Raw genomic sequence first — 12,565 nt, forward strand, 5'->3', positions numbered from 1 at the left:
TAAGTCTGTGGGTAAGTTTAAACAGTATATATGTAAAATTAATAAAAATTTGTTCAATGTCTCCAGGTCTGAGTGACTTTATTTTTTGTAGTTAATCATGGAAGTTAACAAAAAAAAAAAAAAAAAAAAAAAGCAGGGGCTGCTAAAATAACCTTGCTTGCTTGATTATAGAAAATATGGCAGAGAACTTTCTATGTGATATCTTGGCTATAATAATTAGGTATCTGCAACTCTGCTGTGTTTATTACAAAGGGAATATGATTATGGATTTATTGGAGTGAGAAATTAGACCCAAATGAAGAAAGAAGACATTGTATTGAATTTGTAGCATTGACCTCGTTAAGGTGAAAAATATGAATTCTTAATTGGGTTCTTTTGGCTAAACACCAGAAAAAGCTGTAATGTGAAAAAATATATAAGGGAAAGTGTAGAGGAGATACAAGGACTTATCTATGAAAGGCAGATATCTAAGGCAAAAGCAAAACACTGTGTCATGTTCCAAGTTGGAGATTAAATATGGGCGTAAAAATGATTGACAAAGTTGATGTGAAATATACAGCATGTTAAAAAAACAAAGACCAAATCAATCAAGACGCTGAAACAAGTCAACAACTCATTAATCTAGACTCATTGTATTTGGACTAAACTTGGCTGATGCTCAAATTGCAGACAAACTCCATCCTCCTATATCCAACATCATGTATGCCTGTCTCCCCACTGATGTCTGTGTGTATCTGAGGGAAACACACACCACAAATGCTGTCTTCTGGGGTAAGAGTCAGCTCCAAAGCATTTTTTGACAAACCATTTTTTTGGAGTTATAGTTTTGAGGTTTTTTTGAGTATCATAGTTTGAATTTCATCATTCTGCCTCTCTTTGTATATCTCTTGGTCCTAAGGTAGGCATCTAGGTTACTCTGCAGTTGTGAAGTGGTAATTCTAAAACCTCTCTCATAATAGAATTCTTACAATGGATATATATGAGCCTTTTTGGGGAGAAGTAGGGGGAGTTTGAGTGTGAGAAATATAGAGAAACTCAGAAGACAGTGATGTGATGTAGAATCATGACATAAAGAGAAACTGCAGTAAGCAGAACCCATGATTAAATAGAAGTTGTGGTGTAGGAGAAAAGAACTATAAGTGAAGCAGAAAGTGGCTGAGTCACTATCATGGTGACTCATTAGATTTAGCTTTTATCTAGAATGGCATTTCAATTTCTATGTGGTATGACTGTACAATTATTGACAGAGTTTCTTGTCTTCTTTACTTACTCGTGCATATTTTATTCAGGGAAACATTGTTTCCCTGAATATATCAGCTCAAATGTGCTTTCACAACCTGAAAAATTCTTAAAAATACAGTCTATAAGCACACATTCTCATATTCTGATCTGTGTGTAAAATTTTACTGATGCTGAACAGTACTGAGGTCAAACCCCAGGCAAAACAGCTTCGCTAAGGTATGAAACCGAGCTACCTGTTTTTGATATTTGTTGCTTGTTTTATTTGGTTGGTTGGTGGAAAGTCTTATTTGCTTGTCTATCTTTTAAATATTCTATGTGAAACTCTACAAAGTCATGATATTTTTACTGTATTTGAAACAAAATATAATCAAGACTTGATTAATAACATGGATTCCTCACTCTAGGTTGACAAAGCTAGTATTATAAGAGAATTCAAATGCAAAGTTTCACTATAGCAGGTAATATAATGTCCCTTAGGTCTGTCATCCTATATCATCCTCTAAATGTAATTCCCTTCTGTTATCTGTTTCTACTACACTCTTACCCTAAGCTGCATCCTATCTCCTCCCTTTGGATTTAATTTTTCACTATAGGCTTCTTTTGCCAACCCATTCCACTGAGCCATCTGGAACCCCAGCGTACCATTGAAAACAAAGCAAAACAACACAAAATTACATGGCATCAGTATATTCACTGAATGTTCTCTACTCTTTGCCTTAAATAATATCTGCTTCTATTTCAAGGGTACCAGGATCCTTATAAACATATCAAGTGATCGAAGAAGGTTTACTCTTCCATTCTGTATATACAGAGAAATCAGGAATGATGAGGAAGGGAAGGGAGAATGGCAATTTCAACTTCTTTCTGGTTACTCTTACTTTTGCAAAATAACTCCCTTTCACACTCACTCAAAGACCCTTTCTTTGTAAGGTGATCAACTATCACTGTTTCCCTGGAACTGTCTCAATTTTAACACTGAAAGTTTTGTGCCCTGGAGCACCCCTCAGTTACATATAAATCAGGAGAGATGGTCACCCTAGACCTGAGGTAATATCACCTCACATCCCTCCTGTGTTTCTAATTCGCGCTCTGATGGAACCACATGGTCAAACATGGCTTCTATTTCTACTGCTTGACGGAAACTACTAAAAGTTTGAAAGTCTCCCTATTTGATGAAGTGATCTCTTTTCTTGTGCCTTGAGACAAAATTCACTAAGGATTTTTTTTCTGCCATTCCAGAAACTTCTCAAGTATTTCAGGATCTCTCACGCCAATGATATTTTAATGTTGGTGTTCCTCATGGGCCTTGCTCTTTATTCCTTATTCTACTCACTCTCTATGTTCTTCATGGATGGACTTATTTAATTCCATTGGCTTTAATTATCAATTATATCTAATGATCCTTAAATCGATCTCACATTTGAGCTCCCCCATTTATCTGTTTCCTGTTGGAGATTTCCACTAGAAGTTCCACATTCACCTCAATATGTCTCTAACTGAATCATAATCTTTCTCCTGCTCTTCTATTTCTTATTTTGGTAAAAACCACGAGTATACACCCAGGGACTTAAGAAAACTGTTACTCATTCCATTAATCTCCCTTATAGCTCCCATCTCCACCCTCCTATCCCAGACACAGTGTCCAGTTTTAAATATTCTACCTCATTAATACATTTTATATGAACACTTATTTACATAATTTATCAACCAATCTCCATTTGAAAGTGAAAGAGTAGGCTAATCAAACAGAATGTTGAGACAACAGGGGATAACCAAGATCATTTCTGCTCTTTGCTTTGGGGTTTTCCAGAAGGAGGTGTGTGGGAGCGGGGGGGCGGGTGGGTGACAGAGAAGGAAATTTATTTTAAGGAATTGACTCACACAACTTGGGGAGACTGGCAAATCAAAAATCTGCAGGGCAGGCTGGCAGGCTGGAGATCCAGGATAAATTGATGTTGCATTCTCAAATCCTAAGGGCTTCTGAAGGCAGAATTCTTTCCTTCTTGGAAAACTGCAGCTGTTTCTTAAGGCCTTCAACTGATTGTATGAGGCCTATTCATATTATGAGGAGCCATCTGCTTTACTCAAAATCTATTGAGTTTAATGTTAATTGCATCTAAAAAATACCTTTACAGCAACGTCTAGACTGGCATTTGACCAAATATCTGGGAACCATAGTCTAGCCAAGATGACACATAAAATTAACCATCACAGCCTTGCTTAAAACTCTCTCAGCTTCAGTATATATTATCCCTCCCCCTTGTAGACTAGCAGTTACGGAATGAGTTATTCTATTTAATATGTCCTTGTTTTTACCATACACAACTATCTCATGCTCTAGGATGTCTTCCCTATCATCTCTGAAGATCATTGCACTATTTATTTCAGGTTCTTGCGGCCTGTTATACAGATCTCGGGCATATTAATATAATTCTGTTTGTCGCTATCTCAGTAGACTCTATTCTATATTGCTTGAGGACAGGTACCAGATCTTATTCAAATTTATATCATTTAGCCTTAGGACAGCGCCTGTCATATAGTCAATATTGATAAATAAACTTTTTTGTGTGTGCTCCTACCATTGTGAATCATTGTACTAGTTACTGGTGTAATGAAAATAAAAATATAAATATTACTTGAAAGAGCATGCAGCATAATTAGGGAGCTGTGCATATAAATAAAAGATTTATGCCTCATAAAACAGGAGCTTGTACTGCCCACTGTTATGTCATAGAGTAGCATGTGCATGAAAGAATATCAGAAGCTGAATCATTATCCACCTAGAAAGGAAAGGTTTTTGTTTGTTTGTTTTAGTTCATTTGTTTGTTAGCATATTTTGCTTCATTCCTCTGGTAACAAGATTCTGTTTTATTTTCACACTGATTTGTTGAGAAAAAATACAAATTGTTCCAAGATTCATTTTCTCTGTCTGCTAATGGGAATAGTAACTAAAGTGTAGTAAAACTACAGCACAACAAAAATGAAGAAAGAAAAATATTTTCAATTATGTAAACATTGACTTAATAAATAGCAAACTTTCTTCTTGTGACACTTGCAGGCAGAATAAATACATTCAGTGTCTGACAACAGGGAAAGACATTTATAAGATTAGAAGTGATTTTCTGGATTAATAGTGACTTTTGGGTCCTCTGAAGCCCATCTCTCTGTCTCCAGATGGAGTTATCCTTTAACCTTCCTGGACAGGTGGCTATCAGTACTCCATCCTCAGGGAGGGTTCTCCTAGTGTTATTAACAACTGTCATTCAACTTGACCTAAGCTCTCAAGTAGAACTACCACATGCTGACTTCAGCTTATTTATATAGTGTTTTTTCAATTGTCTTGATGAGAAAAATAGGATTCTTAGCTGTGAATTTTCAGTGACAGAACTGAGCTCTGTAAGCCTAAAAACAAATTCTACAGCTTCAATTTGATTTCAGTTTTCTTCCATGTAACACAGAAAAACTGTTAATCTCCTTTTTTGTATTAAGATATTTTCAAATTATATAGCAAAATTAAAATAACAGAATGTCTATTTTGTAATATTATCTCAGGTTTAATTCAGATTTCACTGCCAAGTGTTGCCTTTTAGAAAACCACAGAATACTAAATGATGATAATCCATTAAGTTGTTAGAAGTATTTTAAAAATAAACTTGTATTGAATACATACTATCACTCTTAGTACCCTATCACCCATTGAGAAAAGGGCTTTAACTATTTTTTTCCTTGGTTCCAAGGATTATTTACTTATAACAACAACACCAAAATTGTTATAGTTTATCCACTGGGGAAAAAACAAATAATACACATATTATTGGTTATTTTTAGAAGAAAATTTAAAGAAGATTTACAGATAGCAATCTGTGGGAGAAATGGAAGATGACATAGTTTGAAATAGAATAGACACATTTGAATTCCAAAGACAGCACATTCTATTTCATTAAAAGCATTGAAATTGATGGTGCAAGTGCAGTAAAAACTCAATTAACTGATACCTGACTTGTCTGAAATTTCAATTAGCCATATCTCCCCCACATTTGATTTTTAGAAAATAATGAAAAATGAGGGAGAAGAGTTCCTCACTGATATAAACTTAAACACCTTTAGTCATGCCAGTTTTCCCATTCAAACCTCTTCAGTAAGTCTCCTTGACTTTTCAATTTCTTCTTCCCAATAACCTGCACCTTTCTAATTTCTACCTGCAACTAGAGTTATCTTGTGAAGTAGAAATCTCTATCTCCATTTCAGTTACACATTTGAAGATTGAACAATCTTCTTAGATACCTGACAGAGTTTCTTGCCATGACCTATACAGCTCCTTCATGGCCAGCACCCCACTTTTCTCTCCATCATTATCTTAAACCACATTTCACCTTGCCTTCCCCTCTAGCTGCTCCTGCCTCTGCCATCTCGGCATTATATTCATGCTCACTCCCACTGCAGAAGTATTTTTTCTTCTGGAAATCTCTTAGCCTAGTGAATACCTATACATTATACACTAAGAGGAATAAATCTGATACATGGGTAGATTCCAGCTTAATCTACACGTCCTTAAGGAAACCTTCACCAACATCCTCACGCAACGAAACCCATATTATCTGTTCTCCCAGCACATATTTCTCCTTCATAATTATTATAGTTATAATTTCACGAATACTTTGTGATTATTTAATTAAATATGGATTTCTCATTCATTAACCCTTAAAAGGCATCCATATGTGTTTTTGTTTGTGATATTGTTTCCAGTCCTTAGCACACTATTTGGTACATAGTGAGTTCCATAAAAATTTGTTGAATGAATACCAGTACAGATTTCTTATAAAGAGAAAGTAAAGTCTTCAGAAATCACTTAGTACTCTTGTTGTGAGGTGTTTTGATTTCAGATACATTCATGCTATTTGAGACCACGTTGGAAGCCCCTCACAATGCTCCCACTCAAACCTACTTACGGGAGTGACTTTCATGCACTGTCAGTAAAGTCAGACAATTTCTCCTGCCAAGTCAAGTGGTATTTGATAGAGAAGAAAAATGAGTGACACTTAGGGAAGTCTATGATTTTATAATTTATGAGTGGCAAAGAGAACGTAGAAATGGATTGCTTTCACAGGGAATTCTGGGAGGCCCCAGGATAAAGAGTACAAGGAAATAGTATGGTGGGTAAGGTTAAGGGAAGCAGTGGTGAGAGGTAAATATGAAAGGAAAGAAGATGAAACAGAGTGTGACCCTGGAACCATGAATCAAACACCACTGCCTGATGCCTCCTTCCCCCTTCCCCCACCACTCCAGACACACACATATAGACACAAATGTAGAAATCAATGTAGATACATATGTATTGAAAAACACAATGAAAAACCCTGATAACGTTTAATTGATCTTAAGAAAATTTTGGAATATATGTCCTGCAGTGTGGCTTATGACAAGATCATTAAAATAGATAGATTTATTTCCTGTTTTTTAGCATTTACTTTTGTTCAATAGAGGCATGGATTAAAGATACAAAATAAACTCTTTGACATAAATTTTTGTAACTTTTCTAAGCTTATTATTTTCTAAAATATATACAGTCATCCCTTGGTATCCGCAGGGGATTAATTCCTGGACTGCCTCGGACACCAAAATCCTTGCAAACTGCATTCTTGTAGTCCTCCCTGTAAAATCTGCACATATGAAAAGTCAGTCTTTAGGGTTTCACGTTCTGAGAATACCTTTATTTTCCATCTGTTGTTGGTGGCAGACATGGAATCACCCATTCAAAGGGCCTGACTGTATTTACTGAAAAAAAATACATGAATAAGTGGGTTCCTTCAGTCAAACCTGTGCTGTTCAAGGCGCAACCTGTATTTTAAATCTGAATACTAAGAAACATGTAATTATATATTTTTAAAAGCATGCATTTACTTGCAAGACTAATGTATTTTGCTCTGAGGAAAAATAGTTACTAGTGTGAAAATCAGATTAATATATATGAAGTTTCAGAGCTATGAGATATTTTTGTGACCATTTATTCATTTTATTCATTCATTTTTACTACTCCAGTAGTATTTATGGCTGGTCAGCCTTATAGCTGATAGAAAATAGATAAAGATTATGTCCTTAGGGAGTATCTGCATATGAATTGAAATGTTCTAAATTGCTAGCTGGAACATAGTAAATACTTTAAGAGTTATGTCTCTGGCAGTTCAGAGCAAGGGTGTCTTCATCTAACAGAGAAGATCAGAAAAGTTTCACTGAATTAATTAACTGGCCCTTCCTTGAAGAGTGAGCATGATCAACAAATGCAAAAATGAATTGTCAATGGATTTTTTTATGGTAGCAGAATTCTTTCTTCAAATGAAATAGTTTGTGGGACTCTAGGAAATAAAATGGAAAAGTGCATTTGGAACAGAGGTAGATGGTTGAAAAATCCCACTACAGGCTATATTCTCCCAGACATTTCCACAAAATATAGATCGACCTCATCTGAGCACCACTTTTGCATGCAAAAGGAAGCTTGAGAATAAGTGTTTTACTGGTGATCATATAGCCATATAAGAGGTGACAGCTATTTAACAGCAAAATAAGTGGTAGAACATAGGTCCCCTGACTTCTGCTTAGGATGAAAGGTATTGAAAAACGAGTAGGGTTCATAAATCAGATATTTGGTGTAACTCTCGGCTCTGCCATTTGCTGGCTGTATGCTCTTGAGCACCACATGTAACATCTCAGAATTCAGTGTCCTCATCTGAAAAAATCAAGTATTATCCAGTACTGCTTGAAAGCATCTGATGTATATCCTGGAACATAGTAGGAACCTAAAAATTGTTGTAAAAGACCCCTGGATTCATCTAATTCTTCCACATGTGAACACTAACACCAGCAAACTTTTCTTAAAATGATTGCAGGCACTGTATATTAATTAGCTAACTAACACGTTTCACCCTGTTATATCAATTCAGTTTGGCAAGGTCACCACAGTTTGCACTATTACTGGTGTTGTGCTATTATTTAAATATTGTGTTAAATCTTGTCTTTTTTTTTTTTAAGGATGAAATTGGTTAAAGATTGAGGAGACTTGAAACTAATGCCAGTACAAGAGGAAGCTGGCTTGGAATCATTGGGCATGCTAAAAGTAGTGATTTGCTGGTCTTAAACCAACACTCACAAATACAAAACTGGTCATATGTTCAATTAAAAATAACTATGAAATGCTAGAAAAATGATTTAAAAGAGAATATATCAAAGTAAGCTGAAAGAATGCAGAAATGGAGAAATCTTTAAAAATACGTGAAAAATTATCAGAAAAAAAAATCTAGTTATCCAAATGCAAAAGATAAGATACCCATATATACAGAATGGTTGTTCAGATAGCTTTACACAGATTTCTCTGCATAAGAAATAACCCTCATTTTCATATTTTCTTGACAATTTTTCCAAAATAAAAATACGATTCAATCAAATCTCTCATCAAAATTCTTCTAAAAATATTGTTTTCAGTTCTTACATAAAACAATAAGAATATATGTCTATAAAAATTAAAGTCCAGCTGGGTGCGGTGGCTCAAGCCTGTAATCCCAGCACTTTGGGAGGCTGAGGCAGGTAGATCATTTGAGGTCAGGAGTTAGAGAGCCACCTGGCCAACATGGTGAAACCCCGTCTCTACTAAAAATACAAAAATTAGTTGGGCATGGTGGCGTGTGCCTGTAGTCCCAGTTACTCAGGAGGCTGAGGCAGGAGAATCGCTTGAACCCAGGAGGTGGAGGTTGCAGTGAGCCAAGTTCATGCCATTGCACTCCAGCCTGGGCAACAGAGCAAGATTCCATCTCAAAAAAAAAAATTAAAGTCCATTATTTTATTCTATGAAATATTGCTTTAAACAAACTGAAAGAACTAAAATTTGAGATGATAGATTAATTTATAAAACTAAATATGCATTTGAGCATTTTAACTAATGTGTTTGTTGCTGACTCGGATTGAATCCACTTAAATAGCACACAAATTTATACATATACCCACACTTGTTAGATAGGTGTTTCTTGCTCAATTTGTATAATTTCAATATTTACACATATGTCCAGGAAATCTTTAGGTATGGAAGTGGACAATAGTCTCTTTTACATCTGAAATAACCATGATTAATATGAAATCATTTAGTTACTGTACAAAATGGCATCACAACCAGTGATCTAACAGAGCTTGGAAAGGAATGTACTTTGAACACTCTATTTATTGAATTGTGACCCACATGGAATAACTCCATGAAGACAAGTTGAATGGTTTTTTATTCTGACAAAAAATTTATTTTGAACATGTGTTGATCCATGCTTTTCGTCAGATGCTTTGCCACCCAAGGAGATAGACAAGTAAAAGTTCTGGGACATTTATACCAGTAGCTTCACCTTCAGCAAGACTGAAAAAACCTTATAAAAAGTAATAACCTTAGCCAGTATTTTACCTGTTACCTGTATAAAATATAATCATTTCTTGGTGAGGTTTCAGCTGAGGAAGAATATCTCTTCACTATTATTTCTTTACACTTGATGGAACTGAGATAGAAACAAATCAGAACATCACAAAACAAAATACAATTCTAGCCTAGGATGCAGAAATCTCTGACTACAGTCTAAAAGAGTTTCTTAGCCTTTTTTGGTCTCAGTTTATCTATCTTTTATTACAAGGATATGAAGAACTGTCCAACCCTACTTTAGAGAATTGACATTAGAAATATGTGAGTTAATATGATGGGATGTTTTGAAAAATGTAAAGTCCCATAAAATTCACTTAACATCCCTAAGTAAAACACGATAGTCTTATTTTTTCCAGCACAAAATGGGCCATCCCTAAAGAAGTGCTTTCTGTTTTAAGAGGCATGTGGACAACTACAGCATATGCTGAGGTTAAAAATCAGAAGAATAAAAGACCTTCTAACTGAGTCACAAAAGAAGGAAATATGTGGCTGGGTAGAGTGGTTCATCATAGTTGACTACAGGGATAGATATAGAACTAAATGAGTAGCAATTATAGGAAAGAGATTTTCCAAATGAAAAAAAAAGAACTATATTTGAATAGAGTTATCCAAAAGTTGAGTCAACTGTTTTAACAGTTGTTGAGTTTATTGGCATACCTGGCCATTAAGCAGAGGCTATATTGCCACCTGAAAGAAAAGCAGAGAAGAATACGGAAACCTCTGATGTGTAATCAGATTGTATAGCTGCTATGGTCCCTGCCATTCTGATTCTGAAATGTTGCTATGGAAGACCATTACTGTCATTGCATTTTTCACTGTCCTGGATATTTATTACTGTATAACAGACTATCTCAAAACTTGGTGGCTTAAAGCAATATTTTTTTAGCCCCACCATTGTGTTGGTTGACTGGGAGGATCTTCAGCTTAAAATGGTATTATTCAAAGCATTGGAAAGGCCAGGAGGCCCATAACAGCTTCACTCAAATAGTTGGCCATTACTGATGGCCAGCAGCTGTTAGATCTGCCGAGGCACCGTTTTCCTTTATGTGGGCCTCTCCACATGGCTTCTTCCTCACAAAACATAGAGATGGAGTTTCGAAAAGCTGCAGCTCTCTTAAGCCTGAGCCACCAATGTTACTTTGACCCATTGAATGTTCTTGAAGTATTGCTGTGTGAGTAACAGAGCTATTCCAGAGTCAGTGTGTCAGGAAAAGGCACAAGGACTTAAATACTGGAAGCAGGGAATCACTGAGGGCCATCCTGGAGAGTGGCTTTCATAGTTGCGGTATTAGTTGTTAAGGGAAAGAATGTGGTAATAGATACAATTTTAAACAGGTATTTTTCAGGGCAAGAGAGTAGCCCAGAATTTATTGAAATGAGTTACATTTTTGAAAAGTAAGTTAAAACATGGATATCATAGCTTTATTCTGTTGACTTATAGATTTTGGTCAGATATAAGGTGCGAGTAAAAGCTGTTTAGTCCAATGTAACAAATAATGAGCAGTTATTAGATGTCAAATATAGGACTAGTTATGCGAATGACATGATGTGCCTGATATAAGCCTTGCCCATGAGAAACTTCCTGAGTAATTGGGAGGCAGACTGGAAAATAGATAGTAACAAAATGGAAGCAACAGTATTAAAAGAGAGTTGTATAAAGTGCTATGGAGAATACAACTGAAGTGGCCTCAGAGGTGAGATGAAATACGATCTTTTCTTTGAAAGATGAATATGCATTTTTCTAGCAGTGAAAAAGAGGGAGAATGAAAAGAACTGACTTTTTATGTGCCTGTTTTGTGCCAGGTGCTGTGCTAGGTGGCATTTATCAATTATCTACTTTGGTTTTTAAAGGATTCCCATGAAACAGATATTACAATACCCATTTTACAAAAAGAAGAAACAGATAAAATTACTTACCCAAGGTTAAACATATCAAGGGACTGTGATTCCAAAATCCATAGTCATTTACTACCCCATATTGCCAGGCAGTAATAAAAGCACATTGAATTTGAAATACTTTCAGAATGTTTACAACTCTTTCCATGAGATTGACTGGGCAGGGATCATATAAAAAGCCTCCTCTGCTTCTACACATCATCTCTAGAATTCCTCAGTTCCTCATATCACTTCCCATGGGCTTCTGTAACAATTCCCTGTGGAAGGTTGAGCTAGGCTTGCCCTTGCCTAAGATGTTATTCCAATATGAAAATGTTCAATATGTAGGAAGTTGGAAGTATTGATCTATAGCTCAAGATTGATACATGCTCAGATATAGATTAGAAATCAAATATTTAGTTAGCAGTAGTAATAATAGAACTAGTAGAGGTAGAAGTAGCAGTAGTAGCAATATAATAATAATAATAAATAAGAAAATGTAATTGTAATAAGCCCTAACGCTGCAATGGTATTACACATGCTATTCTATGGCTGGGACATCCTCATGTACTCCTTTAAACCTTCGTCTAAGTAAATTCTACACTGCATTTATATCTTAGCTTGTACAGAATATCTATTGAGCTTTCCTTAATTTCTTCAGCCTAGGTTCAAGTATTTTACATATTTTATTAAAAAATTCTATGCCTTTACTTCACAGAAAGGAAATTTATTTGTATGATTTTTAAAAAAGTTATACCTATATTCATTTTTAGTGCATAAGTTCTATCAGGCAGAAAAATAATCTCTTTTTTATTGCATTGTATGTCCTACTCATACACAGTAGCCAGCACATAGTAGATATTTAAACTTCCGAATATGTGAAAGGATAATTAAAGCCTGGGCATGTACAATGTGAGCAGAATGCCAAACAATATCAATTTTCAAGTAGTAAACTGAGAAAGTTGTGCCCTTGAAAGATGCAGAAGAAAATGCTATTGAGCC

This window comes from Homo sapiens, chromosome 10, assembly GCF_000001405.40.
Source record: "Homo sapiens chromosome 10, GRCh38.p14 Primary Assembly".
NCBI classification, from domain to species: Eukaryota; Metazoa; Chordata; class Mammalia; order Primates; family Hominidae; genus Homo; species Homo sapiens.